Below are 24,403 nucleotides of genomic sequence, written 5' to 3' on the forward strand. Positions count from 1 at the left end.
AATTATGCAAATGTAAATTTTGATTAAAACTCAAATTATGTTAAACAATGGCAATACTGGATAATAATACTAAATTTTCTTCATGCAACCCCCTCCTGGTCTCCTTTCTCTTTTCCTGGCTCTTTTTTTGGAGGACTTTATCTGGTATATATTTGTCTTTTTGTTTTTTTTTTTTTGAGACGGAGTTTGGCTCTTGTTGCCCAGGCAGGAGTGCAATGGCGCCATCTCTGCTCACTGCAATCTGTGCCTCCCAGGTTCAAGCGATTCTCCTGCCTCAGTCTCCCAAGTAGCTGGGATTACAGGCATGTGCCACCATGCCCAGCTAATTTTGTATCTTTAGTAGAGATGGAGTTTCACCATGTTGCTCAGGCTGGTCTCAAACTCTTGACCTCAGGTGATCCACCCGCCTCAGCCTCTCAGTGCTGGGGTTACAGGCATGAGCCACCATGTGCGGCCATTAGGAGAATAACTTCTTAGTCACGATTTGCCTAAGTACAGACGCAACAAAACTCCTTTCCAAAGGTTTATTGCAAATTGTCTTCTTTTCTTTAGAGGAAGATGTAGAATGGGCATCAACACTAATACTGAAAAACAATGATCACATTTAAAGTATTATCGTATTTTATTTACTTGTGCAAATGTCTTATTTCCCTTGTTAAAGTTTCAATATCTTGAGGGCAAGGATTACCTTATTCAACTTGCATAACTACAATAATAATATAATTCCTCACTTTGGGAGGCCTAGGCAGGCAGATCACGAAGTCAGGAGATCGAGACCATCCTGGCTAACACGGTGAAACCCCATCTCTGCTTTAAAAAAAAAAAAAATACAAAAAATTAGCCAGGCCTGTAGTCCCAGCTGCTCGGGAGGCTGAGGCAGGAGAATGACATGAACCTGGGAGGCAGAGCTGGCAGTGAGCCGAGACTGCGCCACTGAACTCTAGCCCTCTAGCCTGGGCGACAGAGCTAGACTCCATCTCAAAAGAAAAAAAAAGAAAAAAAAAATATATATATATGTATATATAATTCCTTGTACATTGTGGGCACACAATAAGGGGTTCATTTAATTGACGATACTGAGAAATAATCAGGAGTTTTAACAAGGTCATCTCATTGGGCTGCTTTTTAAAACAGGCACTTATGATCTTAAATGAGAAAAAATGCAAAAGAGAAAAACAGAAAAATGACTAGTTTTAGATAATAATATAAAAAGAAACAGGTTGATAATTTCTTTCACTTCACCATTCCTCCTTTTAAACCACTTACTGTTTCCATTGCAATAAAATATCAATGTGACTTCACTTGTACAATATAAACATGGCTACCCAGTTCACCTTTCTGGAAACTAAACACTGATATAAAAGTGCTAAATAAATAGTCTATTTGGTAACCTCGATAATATCTTAAACTCTTAGCAAGAAAGAAACATAATTGAGTAGAGCCACAGATCCAAAAATCATCACTATTTAAATTCATATCATATATTTATTTGCAAATTATTCTGTCAGTTTCCCCATCAAAATTTAAGCTCACTGAAAGTACCGTTTGCTACTACACATAAAATGTTCTCTGATTAAATTAAGAACTCAACAGTACCCAGAAGAAAATGATTTCTCAGTAAGAGAAATGTTTATCTATATGAAAATAACTGCACTGTTCAACAAAATATAATAATCCAAATCTGTAGCTTGATCATTCTAGCTTTTCATAACCAGGTTAATATCCTGGGTCAATAACTCAGCAGGGCCACTATAAACTGTAGCATGTCCTTGGAAGGAAGAGTGACTAGAATAGCAGTGAGTCTATAAGGCAAAGCATGTAAGAAACAGTCGAAGATCCCAAGAAGGGATTTTGTGCATATATTTCCTCAGGACTCAAGAGGCCTTCATTAACTTTGGCTGATTTTTTTAAAAAATGATAATAATGGGATCTATCAATAAAAGTACAAAACTCATGGTCATTAAAAGCATCTATTCGGAAGTTGACTAATGTTCTGCCAGCTAATTTTTTTAGGTGTAGGACATTCCTAGTATAGCCAAGGCTGTCTTCAAGGATCAATCTCTTTCTTACTCCTTATAATAAAAGAGGCCCCAAGTTTTAAATATATACCTTGATATTCAGATAGAGCATCTATTTGCCAGCCTCTTTTGCAGTGAGGTATGGATATACAAAGCAGCTCTGATCAATAGGATATGAGTAGAACTGATACAGGCTCCACTCAGGTAACAGCTTAAAGATAAATCTGCTTACCCCTGGCTAGAAATGGACAGTTGGAAGAAAATATGGAAGTTCCCTGTAGAGAAGGACAGGGGAATGCCTTTAGAGAGTCAGTAAGCTGAAGAAATGGAGCTCCAAATATGTTTTCTCAGTCTGGTACATTTTCTACTAAATATTTTACAATACGCTGTTGAATTTTTTCAGTAAATAAAAATATTTTCACCATGTTTAATGCTCCCTACTCTTAACTCATTGACTTCATTTATAGGTCCATATGGTCTTCAGAAAAAAGAAGCATAATTATGGGGTAATTACAATGAGATCTGTATTATTATTTCTTGAACATAAACCTCTCTTCAAGGTCATATAATAAATTGAACATGAAGACAATAGAAGCTTGAGCACATTTTCAAAAACACCTTATTTTCAAGTTTTCTATAGGTTTGAGTTAAACCACCTCTTAAAACACTGATGCTCATGTCAACTTTGTTGTTCACTGAGTGATGGAGAATTTTAGGCAGTATGTTGAGTAGTAAAACTAGTCAGAGGATGCCAACTAACATTGAAAAGGAGGATTATACTGCATTCCATGTCGGGAAAGGAGAATGAACCAAAGCATCAGGTAGATTGAAATCGGCTCTGCATGTGACATGTGTAGCTCCAGTGAAGTGGCTGCAGTGACTGAAGAAGATGGGAGAAAGGGAATATCAGGAAGCAAAGCTAGGTGTCTAGACTGCGACTGGAAGATAAAAACTCATAAAGGTTTGCCCAGATTGGACTCAAATGATAAGCAAAATAAAACCCATTTTTGGTAACCCTACAGGAGAATGACATAACGAATTAAGTGCTTTAGGGGAATTATTCTGCCAATACTATATAGGGTAGACAGGAAAGAGCCATAGATTTGGGTGGGAGAAAAGGGCTTAGAGTTGGGAACAAAGAGATCACCACAATGAGAGCCACAAAGATAAAGGAAAGAGCAATGAAGTCAGTATTTCTTCATCCTAGGAAGGGAACAAATGAGACAGTCTTATGCATGGTGTAGATTAAATTATCCATGGCTTTTTCTGCAATGATATGCAAAACAACCAGAAAAACAAAGGTTTTCTAACAATTTTAGTTCATCATTTAGATATCTGGTAGGTGTACAAAGTATTGAGATGATGGATTGGGTCTTTCATTGGAAGGACCAAAGGGAACAAATGTTTGTAACTATGATTTCAGAGTTTTTCCAAAATCAGAAAAATTGTTTAAAACATGTGACTTGTATTATACATACAATTAAAGTTAGACTGGAACAGTAAATTTTAACAATTGATAATTACTCAAAAGGATATAACATTTGATCTATTAGCTTGTTTTGGTTTACTTAGAAAGAAGGATGTATAAATCATGGTTATTTGACTGTGTAGGAGACAAAGGACTTTGTTGCCAAAATTAGAGATATTGATAAACACTAAAAGAGAAAAAAACATCTCATCTTAGGATATCAAAAAGTTAATTGATTGCAAATTTGAAAGGATTAACCTGAAGGTAAAAAGAGTGAATGTGCTGTATCTGTCATTTAGGCTGTCTGCCCAGGTCTCCATAATCTTCCTGTCTTCTGGGATACTTACCACCTTGCTTCTACCTGATGAAATGGTCCCTAAAAGCTATACTCATTTTATAAGTACGTGACACCCCTGGCCACAATGAATTGGCTCAGAGGTAACCAACCAAACAAAACTGAGTCAATTCGAATTTTCCTCTAGAAATTATAACTAAGAGGTAGCTAATAAATCGCTCTGTTGTGGCTGGTGGTAGAATTATAAACAATTTCAGGGGACATAGGGTGGCCATATACCCATGTAGAGAAAGAGAGAGGTAAAGTCCCCTTCTGAGAGAGAGAGAGAGAGAGAGAGAGAGAGAGAGAGAGAGAGAGAGAGACAAATGAATATGTATCAGTGGAAGCATTCTAATTCCTGAGTCCTGACTGCAGTGGTCCTTCTCCTTAGGTTTTTATGGAGTATCTAGTTATAATATAGTCTCCATTTATGTTTAAACCAGTTCAAGTTGTTTTTTAATACTTACATCACAAAAAGAATGAACTCTTCATCAATTCCTTCTTGTCTCTTTGATCTTACACACTGACCAATGCCAAAGGAAAAGCATGGCCCAATTATCCTAGGCTGGATTCTTTGCTATGTTAACAGAACTTTTGTTCTACTCCTTCTCTGGCAAGCAAATCACACTTTTGAGTTGGTATCATGCTCATTTTTATAGACCCATATAACTCAGAGCTAATATTGGCTGACAGGACAACAATTAGCACAGCTGTTAAACAACGGATAAGTACTTATATTTATCATCATATCATAATGAATTTATTGTAAAGAAGGTATAGTATTTTAGTTAAAATCTTAAATGTAAGGAGAGCCATAGATGGGGTCTATCCCTCTCCCAATTGGGAAAGAGATGGAAAGATAAGTTTGTATATAATGAGATTAAACAGTGGCCTATTTTATTAATTTGATGGCATGTGGAAACAATTCTAGGTATTTCTATATAAAACTAGAACATATAGCCTCTTCAGCAAAAACATTTAGCCAGCTTTATTCAGAGATTTAGTTCATCATTTGAATATTTGGCATTGTATGGATATTCAACTCAAATTTTCCTTTCTCTGGAAAATAAAATTGACTCTTGTTGATCTGATTTTTAAAAAACTGTTAAAAAGGAGATTTACTTCAAGTGTAGAAATTGAGTCTCAATTATGAAATAAATCCGATCGGCTGAGTTTTATCTAAAGTATCCTCTCAAAATAGTAACATAAATATGCAGATAATTTTGAATAAGTTAAATAGTTATATATGTGTTGGATAATGATATAAATACAGTAATGATTTTGGAAATAAAATTTGTAGAAGCCACAAACCAGAAACAGGGAGAAGTTACCTAAGTTAACAAAAGGAATGTCATTGTGCACTGAAAATGTAATACATTTCTTTCTTACCTGGTTGACACTGATTACACCTTCTTCCTTGACGATTAGGCACACACAGGCACTGGCCACTGATTGGGTCACAAATGGTCCCAGGTAATGTCCCCAAGGAATCACACTCACACATCTGGCAGTGTTGAAAATTGTCAATGGTCAAATTGTACCTGTGAGGCTCACACTGATTACAGCGAAGACCTGTTACCCCTAATTTGCAAGGACATTGTCCTGTTGATTTGTTACACAGCAGAGAGCCATTTATTGTCCCAGTCTTATCACAGTTGCAAGGCAGACAGAGGAAAGAATTATTTTGCCGTAGGTAGAAGTTTCCCTCCAAACATTTATTGCACTGTCTCCCTTCAACATTGGGCTTGCAGATGCACTGCCCTGTCTTAGCATTACAGACAGTCCCAGGGAGGGATCCAGCTGTGTCACAGTCACAGGCCTTACAATTGGTGACATCTAACCCATAAAAGTTTTCTCTGCAGGTGTCACACTGAAGTCCTTTGGCTTCTTTTTTGCACTCACACTGCCCAGAGTGAGGATTGCAGAATTTGTTCACTGAGCCATGGAGGTTACACTGGCAGGGCTCACATCCAACATCATTAAAGCTTCGGAGAAATTTAAATCCAAAATTGCAATGATCACACCTAAGCCCTAAAGATAAAATATATTTAAAAGGTGAGGATGGGAAAATGATTTCATTCAAGATAGACGAGACACAAACAATGCTACTGCAGATGATACGAACACAAAATATTGAGTGTTTTCTCACAAGCAATGCCATAGGGGGCCAATCTTACTCTCAAAATTCAATGACAATATTTAATTTAGCTTTAATATACAACTGTTTGCGATGAACTTCATAAATTTTTAATTATTACTTAATGCAAAGAAAAATGCTTAATGCAAATGTTGTTTCTGTTACATATGCTGGAGCTCTTTTTCTCTTTAACAAATCTTAAAAACTATTTTAACAAATGTGCTCATTTAAAATTATAGTAGAATTACATATAACAAATTAGTTGTTTTTCTAAAGATAAGAAATCTCTAAAGATGTTTAATAAAAGGTTAAGCTGAGTACAAAGTTTCAGCTAGACAGAATGAATAAGTTCTGGAGCTCTATTGTACAGCATGGTGACTATACTTAATAATAATGTATTGTATACTTGAAAATTGCTAAGAGATTAGATCTTAAATGTTCTCACCCCAAAAACATGATAAGTACATGAGGTGATGGATACATTAATTAGCTGGAATTAATCATTTTATAATGTGTACATATATCAAAACATCATGTTGTCTGCCATAAATATATACAATTTTTATTTAATTATACCTTCGTGAAGCTGGGAAAAAAGAAAAAAATGTCAGCTGATAACTATTTTTGTGAAAACAGCATATACACTTATTTCTGAATCCACACATTTAAGTAATTAATATAAATAAAACTTATCCAGGGCAATTTTTGGTTTAATCCTTTTGTATGCTCCTCTATTTTATCATTTTCAATTAATATAAATCATGCTCTCCTTGGCTCATAAAGCAATCACATTGCTTGTCATCTTGTGTGACTCAGAACATACCTCTTTAAACACTAAGTAAATTCTGTTTTTTATATTACTTCTATTTAAAGGAGTACACATATACATTTTACGAATGAAGAAAAATGTTTTATCACCTAAACTTAAATCTCTGACAAGTAAGGTTATTCTAAAAGATAAAAGGGTATTACAAGGCAAAGAAATAAAAAAATTAGAATAGTAAATGTTTAGATGCAAAATACTTCCTTTAGATAGTTTCCAAATATCCATGAATTTAAATAACTCACTGCATGGGTTGAATCAACTGAAACATTTATTTCAAGCTATAATTGCAATTTAAAAATTAATCTTAAAATAAGAGTCAAAAACATACTCAGGAACTCATATGTAGAAAAGCATTTCCTAAACTGGAAGGAAATACATAATATATATGTATATATATGGATAAAAATTCAAGAACTCCAATGAAGGCAAGTTCTTTAACAGTGATGAATGACTCACCTAAGGCATATCATTTAATTTCAATAAGGAAAATAAAAAAGGACCACTATTGCTGCAAATTTTAAAAATAACTGTATTGTTAACAAGAATTATGACTCATTTTGAACTATTAAAATTGGTCTACATGGATTCATATCATATCAGTTTTAAAAATATGCACAGTGCTTATTTGAATATGCCATACATATTCCTGACAGGTAATCTATTCCTAACGATAGTCAGGAAGGCCTACAGGGCATCACATTCGGTGTTAACAAGTACAGGCGAGTTAGCACACTTGGCATTTAATTCACATTCTTCTCCCTTTTTATTCTAGATGAATGACCTACTTTAATAAAATTATTGGTGCTAATGTATTTTACTGGTGATAGAATCATTAGTAAGATTTAACAGTTTTGTTAACTCTAACAGTTTGCTTTCTGAAGCGTATACAACATACACTTGTATTTTCTGGGCTTCTTTTTTTTTCATATTAACAAGGTGAAATTGAATAAAGTTACTTGCTGATCCCATTAGGAAAGTAAATATATATGCATATCAAGTTTTTGTTTTTATAAAAAGTACTACATTTGCAGAAATAACACTAGAAATAATAATTATTTATAATACTGAAGTAATTTAGTCTTCACAAAATATATATTTATGTTTCCTGCAGAAAACCATCTGGATCAATCAACAAAACAGGCAAATAGTAGGGATGGCATTATACATTCTAAATTAATTTTGATTTTTCCCTTCCTCAAGCTCTGGAATCTAACCATCACAAGAAAGATTCCATTGATACAAAGAAGTAATTATTTCACTGTCTTTAAAGGTCTTGCTTTAACTTTTGTTTTCACATCTTGAGTTTAAAATATATCTCACATTAAAGAACAAAGGATGCCATACAAATTGAATTCAGGGTCTTAGAATTCCTTCAGCATCATGGATAGCACATACAAATATGTACTTCTCTTTACACGTTATTCTTTCTTTCTAAAAAATTAGTTTCTGTATGCTTGAGATGCATATAGGTAAATTATGGTACAGATTTTCATGTAATGTTTCTTTAAACCAGAGAAATCTCGTGTAATGCCACTAAACACACCTACATTCTCTTTATTAAATTGAAACGCTTGTCTAGCTGAATTGTGTAGCATGATGTACACTTACATAAATAAAAGATAAAGAATTAGATTTAGAGGTATATCACAGAAATGAAAATAGTATTCAGAATGATATGTACATATGCATGTGTACATGTAAGCATTCGTGTGTGTGTGTGAGAGAGAGAGAGAGAGAGGAGTGTGTGTAATCACTGCCAGGCATATTTTTACTATTGTAAGGTTCAGGTCAGTGTTAGAAAAACCATGGATGACTTGGTGTCTTGAATGACAATAGAAAGGCAAAGGTCTTTTTTAAACTTCCTATAGGAACCAAGACATATTCAGTTACAATACAGGGCTCACTTCATCAGGAAACTTTCCTCTCATAATATTCTCATATATCAAAATTTCAAAGTGCATTATGAACATAGTGCATTTTAGGCACTTGATAAATTTTGTCCTTATGTGGCGGTGGTTCCCCTCAAAAATGTTGGATGTAATAAATTGCTATAATCAAATCTAATTTCCGAAAAATACCTGTGGGAGTAACAAACAAAAAAGCACGTCTTGTATAAAAAAATGATAAATAACACCGAAGGCAGCTGTTTATTATAATCAACTTGGTGCTGAATTACAAAATTAAAATTATGTAGCCCTTTGTAAGTAACCCTAGCAATATACATGATCTGTAGAATTATGTTGACTTATTTTGCATTTCATAGGAACAGTTCAAAGAAATATAACAGAAAAAAATGGAAAGATTTATCACAAAGGACCCTGTAGCACAGAATATTTTGAAAAAATCCACTTATTTTGGTCTATTAAGAAAACTAGCATGGAAATGATTTGCTTAGAACTCATTAAGTGTAAAACATTTTGAAAAAGTGCTAATTTTCTAAAAGAAACATCTATGCAGTAAGCAAATTATATTTTTCTATGACTTATTAGTATGGGACCATGGGAATTAATGCATCTACAGAATAAAGAAACTTCTAAAGGGTTGATTAAACTAAGCTTCAAGCTGCAGTTTGATAGAATTATTAATTTAATCATTTTAAACAGTTAATTTCATCCAAATTGTTTTTTTTTCCAGCCTGTCTTGAGCAAAGAAATTTGCTTTACTCTTCAGTTAAGAAATCAAATAGAGAATTTTATTCCAGATGGTAATAGAGATGTGACTGTAAACTTTTGCGTTACACGTACCAATAACGTTTGCTTTGCACTTGCACTGGCCTGAATTTTGGTGACAGGTAATATCTCCATCCACTGTCCCAGAGGTATTGCAGTTACAGGGACTGCAGCCATCAGGATCCAACTCTTGTAGATTGTAGAATCCATTCTGGCACTGATTGCACTGCCTGCCAGACACGTGTCTCTTACAATTACACTGTCCTCCAATCTAGAGAAGATACAACATTTTGTAGAATGATGAACGTATCTATTTTTAGATAATTTGCTCATTAGGTACAAGACAGGGAGGGAGGGAGAAGAAAACTAAATGTTCAACAGACAAGAAGGTAATAAGATATTTTTCCTCTTGACACACAACATGGGAGGCTTCAGCAGGGGGAATATACAGAACTGAATGAAAATAAAACCCATAGAAGTTAGTCGTATAAGAATAAAAGGGAAATGGGGAATTAACCATTCAATGCTATATAAAGAAATAAAAATATAAATATGTAGAGACTGAAAATAGAAAATAGTCAGCAGTTAATTTAGTCTTTAGGACACCACTTCCCCTTTTTTTTTTTTTTTTTTTTTTTTTTGAGATGGAGTCTCGCTCTGTCACCCAGGCTGGAGTGCAGTGGCTCAATCTCGGCTCACTGCAAGCTCCGCCTTCTGGGTTCACACCATTCTCCTGCCTCAGCCTTCCGAGTAGCTGGGACTACAGGCGCCCGCCACCACGCTCAGCTAATTTTTGTAATTTTAGCAGAGGCGAGGTTTCACCATATTGGTCTTGATCTCTTGACCTCGTGATCCGCCCGCCTCGGCCTCCCAAAGTGCTGGGATTACAGGCGTGAATCACTGCACCCAGCCCACCTCTCTATTTTATTCCTCTTGTTTACTGTCTCATTGATTTAAACTTGTTTTGTACATGCTAGGTATTTAAATTAAGGGAGAATCTTTCTATAATGATATAATGATATCATCCCATAAACAGTGTAACAATGTTTAATGTTATTTGTTAATAGAATTATTTATGCCTATTGATATTGATCCTAATACATTTTTTTCTTACCCAACTCCCCTTTTAGGACTATTTCAGCCTATTTATGATTCATTTCACCACATTAAATATACTTAGCTGATTTATATTGTGATAAGAAATTCCAAAAATGTTTCTTGTTTTAAAGCATTTTAAAGCAAAATAACAGCTAAAACACTGTGTCATTTTATTCTTTAAGCATCTGGTTTGAAAAGAATGCAAATACATAAAATACAGTGTTCATCTACTACATGCATAGTTAATACTGTGTTGATTAAAGAAAGATAAGAACTAAACTCTTCATAAGTGGACATATGTATATAAAATGTCAAATAAATATGAGAAATTTAATAACTCAGGACTCTAACACAGCAATGTGGGTACAGACTTCAAATCTCTTTTATAGTCCCTGACATTTTCCCCACTGATTTTCTTTCACTTGGATTGAATCCAGCTCTTCACATTTGGAGGCAGAGTTACCATAGAGGGAAGTAACCTACATGTGGAAAGATATTATTTGATTTATATTTAATTTCAAGGATATTTAAAAATATCTAGGTTGGGATTCAGTTACAAGATATAGTGAAGGACTTAGAAATTAAATAATTTTTAAAGAACTATCACTGCCTCAATTGTCCTCATCCAAGAAATAGAGACTCACTGGAAGCTTTATTTAAGGATAATTAAGACAATTGATATGAAAATATCTAAGACTGAAAAATAAATGGTTATATGCAAACCAAATGTAGTTGTAGCTAATAATGAACCTCAATATCAAAGATGCATATAGGTTTAGAAAGATGAGTGAGAACAATGAATTGCCTTCTTGTGCCTGGCTGTTTCTCAGTCTTATTCAGATCTAGTCCAAAGGATACAAAATCATTACTCAAGACAGAGATTTGATTCAGCCTACAAAAATAGATGGCATTTATTGGTGGATATGTGTAACATATAGGCATACCATGAAAATCCAATAGGCGTGTGGGTACATACTTGTAACACTTCAAGTACATCAACCCATAACTCAGGCCTGAGTCTTTGCTGGTACTTTACAGGATCAGTCCTGTTCTCCAAAGAGATAGTAAACACCTTAAGGCATTGGACATATGTGATGTTTCCGTCAAAGAATAATCTTAAACATTACATGTAAACAATACTTTTTCAAAGAGCAAGGAAGTGTGCAAAAGGTAAAGAGAAATAAAAGTGCAAAACCTTTATCTTTTATATGTTTTGTTATTTTTTCTTTTTTTTTTTTTTGAGATGGAGTTTAACTCTTGAAAAATGATTGAAACAGACATTTAAAAATGCCTGCAAATTTGGAGTACAATGGTGCGATCTCGGCTCACTGCAACCTCCGCCTCCCAGGTTCAAGTGACTCTCTTGTTTCAGCCTCCCCAGTAGCTGGGCCACCAGGCACGGCTAATTTTTTATCTTTTTAGTAGAGACACAGTTTCACCATGTTGGTCAGGCTGGTCCTGAACTCCTGACCTCAGGTGATCTGTCCGCCTCGGCCTCCCAAATTGCTGGGATTACAGACCTGAGCCACTGCACCTGGCCTTGTTGTATTCTTATTTACATGTAATGCATGTATCATCTGGAGCGTCCTTGCCTTTTGAAATCTAGATAAGGCAGCCTATGACCCTAATTCCATCCCTGAATGACAGAAGTCCTCCTTAAGTTTATAAGAATTCTATGCGTATTGATCATTTCGTAGTCGCCCTGACCCTACACTTCTGCTTCTTCCATTTTGAAGTCTTTCTGGCTTCTGCCAGCACTGCCCTATGTCACCCAGAGGTGAAACTCAGCTAATGCCTCAATTTCAAGAAGTCTTGTTCAAAACAAACAAACAAATTGTAGTCGTTAAACCTTATTAAAGATTCGGGGTAAAAGAGGAATTAAATCATTACTTTGCAATTCATAATATCCCTTTAGTTTCCCTATAGCTAGAGATTTTCATTGGCACTCCAATTACCTACCATCTTGCACTCCAATTATCTACCATCTTCTGTGGCTTCTCTCTTCTTCCTCCTTGCTCTGCTATAAAGCATATTCACTTTTTTCTATACACCTGACTTTACATGGTCACTTTTTCACAGACATCTCAAAAGTGTATAATATTGCCTTGATTCTTGCCAAAACCTAAGTCTTATCGAGATATTTTTGTCAATAAAAACAATTCTTTCTATATGAACTCTGCCACAAATTAATAAAATAACAAGTTTACTCCCATTTCATTAATCTCTCTGTAACACATATAGATTATAATTTCTGTATATTAACTATATCTTAAAATGTAGTTTAAAAATAAAATAAAGCATTATTATTTTTAAAAATGTTAACTTTAGTCAGTTTCCCAAGATTCAACTGAAAATACCCAGTTTACTTCTATAGATTCCACAGTTGTAGATTCTACCTTTTTAATGTGAGAAAATACAAATCTACTCATACTCTAAAACCAATTGCTGTCCACCAAGAAGTAGAAAGAGAGAAAGGCATTCCCCTTTCCTTTAAAAATACACTAAGACACTCTTTGGTACGATCCTTCCACAATAACTCTAGATTGACCTATTGGTTTTCTTCGGCCAAATACTAGCACATATAATGCTTGCAAATATGATTCAAACAGACAATTTAAAATGCCTGCAAATTTAGAGTTCATTCTTTCTTGCTGGGCTTGGAACTCTGAGATCACCTTGTGAGCAAGCTCATGCTATCCTGCTGGAATATTAGAGGTTGGATGGCAGAGAACTGAGGTGCCCCAGCTAATAATTGCTCCTACTGTCCCAGTGAACAGCCAGCTTGCCAACCACCACATATGAGAGTGAGGTCTTCCTATCTAACTGCTGCTTGACCAGCTAGCTAATCACAGACAAATGAGAGAGCCCAGAAGAGGTTGGACAAGCCAGTGCACACCAGCACTGAGCCAAACCATAGAATCCTAAATAAATACGCAATTTTTATTGTTTTTAGCCACTAACTTAAACAGCAAACGTTAATAGATAAAATATCATTGACCAGAACTTAAACCACATTTCTACACCTAGCTGCCAAGGAGACTGAGAAATGTAGTTTATTCTCTATGATCATGTGATCAACTACTTCTGAGCTTTCTTTTACTAACATGGAAGGAAATACAGATAAAGCAGTACAATTACTATCTCTGATAACAAACAAATATCTATTCACAGTTCAAGCCATGGAGATTCTCCTGCTCTTTATGGCTTAAAATGCAATCTTGGTCTTATAAATTTGGGTCTTGCCTGAATCACAATTTTGGCCTTAACATGCTTTCAGCCACAAGAGCAGAGAAAAGAAATGATCATCCCCATGAGATGCAGTTAGAAACTCAGAAATAGCTTTCATTAGCCTGGCTTGGGTCTTCCCTTCTTTTGCTAGTTTTGTAAAGTAGAAGATATTTCTTTGAAATCTTCATCCTTTCCTAGCATAGGCATTTAGTGCTATTAATATACTACTAAGTCCTGCCATATTGGGTATCTCACAATTTTGTTATGCTGTGTTTTCATTTTCATTCAGTTCAAAATACTTCTTAATTCCTCTTTGGGTTTCCTCTTCTAATCTTGGATTATTTAGAATTTTGTTAGTTAGTTTCCAAATATTTAGAGTAATTCCAGGTTATTTTGTTATTGATTTCTAATTTAATTTAACTGCAGCCCCATAATGTACTTTATATGATTTGAATTCTTTTAAATCTATTGAGGCTTGTGTTATGGTTCAGAATTTGATTTATTTTGGTAGATGTTTTGTGTAGGCCTGAAAAGTAGGTGTAGTTTGCTGCTCTGTTGGGTTGAATGTTCCATAACTGGCCATTGGGTCAAGTTGGTTGACAGTGTTGTTCTAATCTATAGATTTACTTATTTCCTGTCAGTTTGTTCTATTAATTATTGAGAGAAGGGTATTGAAATTTTTGCCGACAAATGTGGATTTTACTTTCTCCTTCAGTTACGTTAGTTTTTGCTCTGTGCATTTTGAAGCTCTGCTGTTGGTACAGAAATATTAAGAATTGTTATGTCCTATTGACAAAATGACTCCTTTTGCAAAATGAAATTACTTTCTTCATCCTGGGCAATATTTTATCTTGGACAAAATTTCTAAAAATTCATGTTTTCTCATATTAATAAAGTCACCCTAGATTTCTTATGATTAGTGTTCACAAGATTTATCTTTTCCAACATTTACTTTTAACCTAGTTGTGTCTTATACTTAAATATCTTTTCTGTAAGCAGCATATAGTTAAGTTGTACTTTTTCCTTTTTTAACCAATCTTCCAATCTGTATATTTTAAGTGGAGTATTTAGAATATGTAAATTTAGCATTATTATTGATATGATTATGTTTAAATCTATTATCTTGATATTTCCTATTTGTCCCATCTGCTTGGGATTTCTTTTTTCCTTTTTTTTTTTTTTGCCTGTTTTGTGTTATTTTATATTTCTTTATGATTCAAATTATCTCCATGTTGGTTTATTAGTTATAACTCTTTGTTTTATGATTTTAGTGGTTTTTATCCTACATCTTTATCACAGCCTAGCTTTAAGTGACAGACTACTTCAAATAGAGTATAAGGATCTTACAACGGTATACAATTGTCCCTTGAACAACATGGGTTATCACTGCATGAGTCTACTTATAAAAGAATCTTCTTCCACCTCTGCCAGCCATGAGGCCACAAGACCAATCTCTCCTCTTCCTCTTATTCCTCCTCCTCATCTTACTCAAAGTGAAGATAAAGAGGACAAAGATCTTTATGATCCACTTTCACTTAACAAATAGTAAATACATTTTCTCTTTCTTATGATTGTCCTAAAGATTCTCTTTTCTCTAGATTACTTTATGGTAAGAATACAGTAAATAATATATACAAAATAAATGTTAATTGACTGTTCATGTTATCAGTAAGGTTTTTGGTCAATGGTAGGCCATTAGTAGTTAAGCTTTTGGAGAGTCAAAATTAAACTTGAATTTTTGACTGTGCAGGGAATCAGTGCCCCTAACTCCCATGTCGTTCAAGGGTCAAGGGTACTTCCTTTTCCCCCTCTTAATTATTGTGTTATTACTGCCAAACATTTTACTTACACATGTTATAAAACTTTTACTATATTATTATTATTTTTTAAACTGTCAACTATATTTAAAGAAAATTAAATCATTAGAAAAATACCCTCCGTATTTACCAATGCAGTTGCCATTTTGGGTGCTCTTTGTTTCTTTGTGCAGATCCATATTTCCATATGATACCATTTTATTTCCTACTGAAGGACTTCTTTTTAATGTGTCTTATAGTATAGGTTTCTGTGTGATGAACTCTTTCATTATATGTATTGCAAATAGTTTTTATTTCACCTTCATCTTAGATATCTTTACTAGATATAGAATCATAAGTGCACTATTTATTTTCTTTCATAGTTATAAGAATGTTGCCCCACTGTCTTCTTCTTTGCATTATTTTGGATAGGAAATCTGTTGTCATTCTTACTGTTTTGCCTTTGTATTTAACACGTCTTTTTCCTCTGGCTGCTGTAGTATTTTATTTTATCATTAAAAATTTATCACTAGCTTTGAGCAATTCAATTATAATATGCCTTTTGTGATTTCCTTCATGTTACTTATTTTTTAGTTTTCTTGAGATTCATGGGTTTGTGGCTTTATGGTTTTCAGTGTACTGTACTTGGAATTTTTCAGCCATAAATTATTTGAATATTTTTTATATTCCCACCTCCACCCCACCATTCCTTTAGGGACTCCAATTACACATATACCAAGCCTCTAAAAGTTGTCCCACAGCTCACAAATGCTGTTTTCATTTTTACAAATGCTCTTTCAACTCTGTTTCATTTTGGATAGGTTATATTGCTATGACTTCAAGTTCACTAATTTTTTATATATAACATAAATGTTTTATGTTTAATGTATAATCAATTATATCCAGTGTATTTTCATTCCATACAGTGTAGGTTTTTCTCTGGAATTTTGATCTGTGGGGTTATTTAGTACCTTCCATATTTTTATGTAGCTTTTAAACTATGTAGAGTTGTAATATCTGTTTCAACATACTGGCCTGATAATTCTAACATTTCTCACAATTCTGGATCAATTTTGATTGATGCATTTACATCCTCATTATAAGTTGTACTTTCCTGCTTCTTTACATGCCTGATAATCTTTGATTTGGTGCCAGAGACTGTGAATTTTTTCTTGTTAGGTACTACATATTTCAGTGTTCTTACAAATATATTTGTGTTTTGTTCTTGGATGCAGTTAAATTACTTGGAAACAGTTCCTTTTGAGTCTTGCTCTTAAGATTTATTAGGTGGTATTGAAGTAGTTATCAGCCTAGGGCTATTCTCCACTGTTGAGGCTAGACCCTTTTGTGTACTCTTATCAAATATCCCACGAATCATAAATTTTCTCGCCAGTTCAGCTAGTGGAAATAGGCACATACCCAGCATTACATGAGTGTTAATTATTGTTACTTTTAATAATTGAAAGTTGTGCTTTCTGCAGCCTCATACATGCAGTGAACCGTAGTAAAGTGAATTCTTAAGGAAGATGCTCTGTAGATCTGTGAAATTATCTCTGTGTTCCTCTATCTGCTCTCTGCAAACTCTAACTACTTTGAATTCCTGAAACACTTGGCTATATCTCTTCAATTTGGAGAACTCTCTGAGCTCCATCTGGGATTTCTCTCCCTAAGTCGTGGTCTAGAAATACTCTGTAAGCAGTAATCCGGGTCAATTGTAAGATTCACATAATTTATTTCCTATTTCTCAGCAAACATTGTCCTCATTGCCTGATGTCCAACATCTAGCAAACAATTATTTAATACATTTTGTCCATATTTTTATCATTTCAAGCAGGAGGATAAATTCTATCACAATGTTCAGTCAAAGTAAAGTCTCAAAAAGACATTTGGACCTGACAAAACAACTATAAACTCAATTTAAGAGAAAACTAGTTGACAACATTCAGAGAGAATTTTCAGGAGCTGCATCATAGACAGAGCTGCATTGGGAAACATTTATTCAGCTGTTTAACATAGCTCCAAGCTCTCAACCCAAATAACATAGAGCTCCAAAGAAGTTTGGCAGTGATACCTATGCTTACTATACCAGGGAAATGGAAAACCATGGATCAAAAACCTCATGCCATCCTTCAACTGTTCCTGTTAAGCAGCCAAAATTGGAATCCTGAAACTTCAATCCCCTCATCAGCACTACACTTTCTTACAAACTCCAAAACATAGCAGAATTTGGATGGAGATTAGCAGAGGTGAAATGCACACTGCGATGTTTAGAAGCTTAAGAAATAGCATTATAAACAGGAGCAAAATTTAGAAACATACTGGTTGCTGCACATGTGGTTGGGAGCAAAGGAAGGGAAAAAAAGATGTGTTTTAATGTAGTAACTACTCAAATAACTGAAATCTATGGTCTGTAGCTTTATAACTGTCAATTGAAATGGAATATTTCATCTCGGTCTAGGTTACCACTAGAAGATGTTGCTGCCAAATACAGTAAATTAAATTATAATGAAGCTGATCTGTAGGTATATATCCTATTGTGATCAAGAGCCAGTTCCCAGGAAGACAAAACTAAGGGATAAGTATATTGTACACATTCTGCTTTCTGACAAAGGATCCAACTTATTAGAATTGATGCATTCAAAGATTAATAAAATTAAGACACGATTTATCCATGAGGAATACTAGGGCAGAATAAGTAAAAATTATAATAAATTTATTTTCTTGCTCAAGAAAAAGGATACAGGTGTTAACTAAGACTGCCCATTGTCAGAAAAATATGCATCTGAATACATTTACTAAAATATAAAATTTTTGGTAAAATTTAGATTAAGCACATGTATTTTCCTCTTTTTCTCACTACTTTAAAATAACAGCAATTTTAACAAGTAAAACCCATAATTTTAATGAGACCAGCAGAGAAAACAATAATGGAGAAATATATTTTTCAAAAATTTCAAAGACGAAAAATGAAATGAAGAAATATAAATAAATATTGGCAACGTTCTTGACTAATCAGAGAAACTGCAGTACGAGTGCAGGCTGATTTGGATTCCTAAAGCAAGAGGATCGATTTAAAAAAGAGTTAATAGTAAGAGATGAAAACAATTACCAATTTTTGATAAAGTTCAGATCAAGCATGTGCCTTTTCCTCTTTTTCTTGATACTTCAATTAAAAAAATAGGAATTTTAAAAAATATAACCCATAATTTTAATGAGGCCAGCAGAGAAATCAATAGGGAAGAAATACATTTTACAAAAATTTTGAAGACAGAAAATGAAATTAAGAAATAGAAATAAATATTGACAACATTCTTGAATAATCAGAGAAGTTACAGCTTGAGTGCTAGCTGAATTGGATTCCTAAAACATGAAAACTGATTTTTCCTATAGAATCTTTGAGAGCCTTAAGACTTGAAGATAATGAAACATTGAGAGAAGTAAGAGGACACACACAGGTCTAAAGTTAAACAATGGTTCTCAGCTAAGGAAGATTTTGTCCCCAGAGGAACTTTCTGGTTGTCCCAGTGAGGGGAGGAGTTCTACTGGCATGTAGTATACTGATATGTAGCCAGGGATTCTGCTAAACATCCTGCAATGCACATATCCATCCCTCACAACAAATTACCCAGCCCAGAATAGCCATAGTGCCAAGGTTGAGAATCATGAATTAGAGGTATTCCACATAGAAAGTATTTAGATTTTCAGGTCCCCTTTTCAACCCCACTCAGCCAGCCAAACTAATCCTACTCCACAGTGACATCAGTCTTATTGTCAAGAATAATTGAAATTAACCAGCTCCATTATATTGGAACATCAACAACTTGTTATTGGAAGAGGCACAAGGTAGACATGAAAGGATTAAGTGAAAGTCTGTATACACTGCCTCTCCCCTTTACCACCACAACTCCCCTTCTACACAGTTTAAAGAAAGCCGGGAGCCAGAGTTATTTTCCATAAAGAGGAAACTGGCAGAAAAATACTACAAAGATAAGAACTCTAGAACTAATATTTGAGCTTTTAACCTCTGCAAAGTAAAGCTGTATTGCTGCTCATAAACATGAGTAAAGGCCATTTTGGAAATGTTTTACCATTTCTCTACAGAATAAAGCAGATGGCAAAATTCATCAAATGTGCAAAATATACAATGTGAATGACAGAAACAAAAATAAAGGAGGAGGATGAAAAATGATAATCCAGATGAGGAAACAAACAATGCAGGGAATTAGAGATGGAAGAAATCATCAACTAATAACAATTTAATAAAATATCTCTGTTATCCCCAGAAGATAAAAGTTGCATTCATTAAAAAATATAGAAACAAAAAAAAGCCTAAAAGAATAAACAATTGGTGAAAGAAAGAATTCTTAAATATTAAAAATATACAGCCAGGCATAGTGGCATGTGCTTGTAGTCCCAGCTACTCAGGAGGCTTAGGTAGAAGTATTGTTAGAGCCCAGGAGTTTGAGTCCAGCCTAGACAATATACTAAGATTCTATATCCAAAAAAAAAAAAAAAGGCTGGAAAAAAATCTCAACTAAAAGATTAGAAGAGAAAGATAAGAAAATACATCAGAAAGGCTAACAATAATAATGAGATGAAAACAAATTTTCAGAAATACACCAAAAGGAAAAAAAATTAAAGGAATAAGTTAATAAAGAATTAGTATAAAATACACATTTTCCAGACATGAAACCATAGTTTTAAAAGGCTTAATGGCTGGCAAACCAACATGTGCCTATGCCCCTAAACTGAGAAACGACCCAACAGCCTCACTCCTGGTGAACCAGTTCCAGAACCAGCTGATCCACTGAACACTCATGCCCCCGGCCTGAGAAACAGCCCACGGCTTCACCCAAAGCAAGCCAGTTCCTAAGCTAGGTGACCCATCACATGCACAAACATGCCTCCATCCTGATAACTCACTCAATAAGCCTGATTCCAGTAAAGTCATGTCACTGCTGCCACAAACTCCCACAGGTTAGGTCAGTGAAGCATTCACAAACATTACTGACATGGATTACAGTTGAAGAAACTTCACAGAGACTACACTACTGTGCCCACTCAGGACCCAAGTTATCACCCTCTACTTAACACTCTAGAACTTATCTACAGGAGTAAATCTTTCCCTATAAGCGCTAGTCCATAACATTAAAAGAAGCAATTACTTTACCAGATGTGCAGGTATCAATGTAGGAACACAAGAAACATGAAAAAGCAAGAAAACATGACACTACCAAAGGAACACAATAATCCTCTAGTAACAGACCCCAAAGTAAAAGAGATTTTCAAAATGCCAGAAAAGGAGTTCAAAATAATGATGTTAAGGAAACTCAGCAAGATAGAAGAAAATACAGATATGCAACTGAAAAAAATCAGGAAAAGAATTCATGATCTAAATCAGAAATTCAACAAGAAATTGGTATCATAAAAATGAACCAAACAGAAATATTGGAGCTGAGCAATTTAGTTAATGAAATAAAAATACAATCAAGAGTTTTGACAACAGGCTAGATCAAGCAGAAAAAAATGATTTATGAACTCAAAGACAGGTCTATTGAAATAACTCAAGCAGACAGAAAGAAAAAGAAAACAGAATAAGAAAGAATAAAGAAAGCCTACAGGACTTGTGGGACACCATTAAGCAAACAGCTATTCATACTGTGGGAGCTTAGAAAGACAAGATGACAAAAAGGGTAATAAAAACTTATTAATGAAATACTAACTTAAAACTTCCTAAGTCTTGGGACAGACATAGATACCCAGATCCAGGAAGCTCAAAAGTTCCCAAATGTATTTAACTAGAAAGGTCCTCTGCAAGGCACAATATAGAAATAAAAAAGATCAGAGAAGAAGGATATAAAATTGAGACCAAAAACAATACAAAAGCTCAACAAAACAAAAAGTTGATATTTTGAAAGATAATATTGACAAACCATTAGCTAGACTGAGAAAAAAAGAAAAAAGACTCAAATAAAATCAGAAATGAAAAAGGAGACACTACAACTGAAACCACAAAAATACAGTTGATCATTGGAGACTATTATGAATAACTATATGCCAACAAATTGAAAAACCTAGAAGAAATGGATAAATTTGTGGATACATACAACTGGCCAAAATTGAACCAAGGAGGAATAGAACACTGAACAGAACACTCACAAGTAATGAGATTGATTCAGTAATTAAGAGTCTCCCAACAAAGAAAAGTCCAGGATCAATGGCTTCACTGCTGAAATCTACCAAACTTTAATAGAAGAACTAATACCATTTTTTCTTAAACTATTCCAAAAAATTGAAGGAGAGGAAATTCTTCTAAACTAATTTTATAAGGCCAGCATTACCCTGATAGCAAAACCAAATATGCAACAGCAAAAACTACAGGCCAATATTCCTGATGACCATAGTTGCAAAGATCATCAATAAAATACTGGCAGACCGAATCCAACAGCACATCAAAAATATTACATACCAGGATCAAGTGTGATTTATACCAAGGATGTAGGAATGATTCAATATGAGCAAATTGAATAAATGGGATAAATAAAAGTATATCAACAGAATGAAGGACAAACCATATGACCATCTCAAAAGACAGAAACAGCATTTGATGAAATTCAACATCCCTTTATGCTAAAAACTGTCAGCAAATTAGTATGGAAGAAATGTACCTCAATAATAAAGGCCATATATGACAAACCTACAACCAACATCTTATTAAACGGAGAAAAGGTGAAAACTTTTCTTCTAGGAACTGGAACATGATGGTGATGCCCACTTTCACTACTCTTTATTCAACCTAGAACTAGAAATTCCTAGCCAGAGCAATTAGGCAAGAGACAGAAATAACAGGAATACAAATTGGAGAGGAGGAAGTCAACTAGTTCTGGTTTACAGATGACAGGATCTTATATGTAATAAAAACTAAGCACTCCACCAAAAAACTCTTAGAAGTGATAAACTAAACGAATAAAGTTGCAGGATATCAAATCAATATATAAAAATTAGTAGCATTCCTATACAACAAGCACAAACTAGGTAAAAATGAAATCTCACTTACGATAGCTAAAAAAACAAAAATACTGAGGAATAAATGTAACCAAAGGGTAAAAGTTCTGTACAAGGAAAACTATAAAACTTATAATAGAAATTAAAGAGGACACATAAGAAAATGGAAAGGCATCCCATGATCATGGATTAGAGGAACTAATATTATAAAAATGACTGTATTATCAAAAGCAATCTACAGATTCAATATGATTCCTATCAAAATACTAATGATATTCTTCACAGAAATAGAAGAAAAAATTCTTTAAATTCCCATGGAACCATAAAGACCCAGAATAGACAAAGCAATTTTTTTTTTTTTGAGGTGGGGTCTCTCTCTGTCACCCAGGCTGGAGTGCAATGGCACAGTCTTGGCTCACTGCAACCTCCACCTCCTGGGTTCAAGTAGTTCTCCTGCCTCAGCCTCCTGAGTAGCTGAGATTACAGGTGCCCGCCACCATGCTCTGCTAATTTTTGAATTTTTAGTAGAGACAGTCTTTCGCCATGTTGGTCAGGCTGGTCTCGAACTCCTGACTTCAAGTGATCTGTCCAACTCAGCCTCCCAAAGTGCTGGGATTACAGGCGTGAGCCACCCCACTGAGCTAGACAAATCAATCTTGAGACAAAGTCACCTGTTCAAAAAGAGCAAGACTGAGGATATCATACTACTTAACTGCAAAATTTACTACAAAGCTATACAGCATGATACTGTCGTAAAACAGACACAGAAACCAATGGAACAGAATAGAGAACCCAGAAATAAATCCACCTATTTACTGCCAACGGGTTTTCAACAAAGTCACCAAAAACAAAGAGTGGGAAAAGGACATCCTCTTCAATAAATGGTGCTGGGGAAACTGGCTATCCATGTGCAAATGAATGAAAATAGACCCCCGTCTCTCACCATATACAAAAATCCACTCAAAATGGACTAAACTCTTCAACGTAAGACCCAAAACTATGAAAATACTAGAAGTAAACCTAGGAGACGTGCTTCAGGACATTGGTCTGGGCAAATGGAATTACATCAAACTAAAATGCCCTTTCGCAGCAAAAGAAACTACCAACAAAGTGGAGAGACGACCTACAGAATGGAAAAATACTTGCAAGGTATTCATCCAAGAAATGTTTAATACCTAGAATATATAAGAAAATCAACTCAATGGCCCCAAATAATCCAATTAAAACAGGTGCAAATGGTCTGGACAGACATTTCTCAAAAGAAGACATACAAATAGCCAACAAGTACACGAAAAAATGCTCAACATTGCTAATCATCAGACAAATGCAAACAAAAGCCACAATATTATCTTTTCCCAGTTAAAATATGTTATAAAAATGACAAAAAATAACAAATGCTTACAAGGATGCAGAGAAAAGGGAATTCTTATACACTGTTGGTAGGAATGTAAATTAGCATACCATTATGGAAAAAAGTATGAAGGTCACTTAAAAAAACTAAAAAGAGAACTACCATATGATTCAGCAATCCCACTACTGGGTACATATATCCAGACGTTTTGAAATCAGTACGTTGAAGAGATATCTGCACTCCCATGTTTATTGCAGTACTATTTACAATAGCTAAGATATAGAATCAACCTAAGTGCTCATTAGCAAAGGAATAGATAAAGAAAATTTGATATATATATATATATCATATATCACATATATAAATATATAATGAAATACTATTCAGCCATGAAAAGGAATAAAACTCTGTCTTTTGAAGCAACATGGATTAGCCTAGAGGGCATTATGTTTAGCCCGGAAGACATTATGTTA

The 24,403-nt window shown here is 34.4% G+C and overlaps 1 protein-coding gene across 2 annotated transcripts in view, besides 3 other annotated features; it reads right to left on the reverse strand.

Moving 5' to 3' along the window:
• Positions 1 to 24,403, reverse strand: part of USH2A (usherin) — an 800,558-nt gene that overhangs the window by 618,485 nt on the left and 157,670 nt on the right. For both annotated transcript variants that reach the window (NM_206933.4, NM_007123.6), the window contains exons 12-13: positions 9,528 to 9,723; positions 5,210 to 5,851 (exon numbers count right to left, since the gene is read on the reverse strand). In NM_206933.4, coding sequence (NP_996816.3) covers positions 5,210 to 5,851; positions 9,528 to 9,723 — 838 coding nt within the window. The remainder of the gene's footprint in view (positions 1 to 5,209; positions 5,852 to 9,527; positions 9,724 to 24,403) is intronic.
• Positions 5,108 to 5,714: an enhancer, noted in NCBI's record as "OCT4-NANOG hESC enhancer chr1:216419825-216420431 (GRCh37/hg19 assembly coordinates)". NCBI's record gives its function as "activates a minimal SCP1, AML or CMV promoter by ChIP-STARR-seq in naive H9 embryonic stem cells {active_cell/tissue: H9 hESC(naive)}" and the evidence as "EXISTENCE:reporter gene assay evidence [ECO:0000049][PMID:30033119]".
• Positions 5,352 to 5,646: a silencer, noted in NCBI's record as "tiled region #8762; K562 Repressive non-DNase unmatched - State 24:Quies". NCBI's record gives its function as "represses a minimal TATA promoter and a strong SV40 promoter by Sharpr-MPRA in K562 cells {active_cell/tissue: K562}" and the evidence as "EXISTENCE:reporter gene assay evidence [ECO:0000049][PMID:27701403]".
• Positions 8,040 to 8,209: an enhancer, noted in NCBI's record as "experimental_4209 CRE fragment used in MPRA reporter constructs". NCBI's record gives its function as "activates a minimal promoter by MPRAs in K562 erythroleukemia cells, with activity observed for the non-introgressed 1:216422842 variant allele {active_cell/tissue: K562}" and the evidence as "EXISTENCE:reporter gene assay evidence [ECO:0000049][PMID:34662402]".

Source organism: Homo sapiens, chromosome 1 (assembly GCF_000001405.40).
Source record: "Homo sapiens chromosome 1, GRCh38.p14 Primary Assembly".
NCBI lineage: Eukaryota > Metazoa > Chordata > Mammalia > Primates > Hominidae > Homo > Homo sapiens.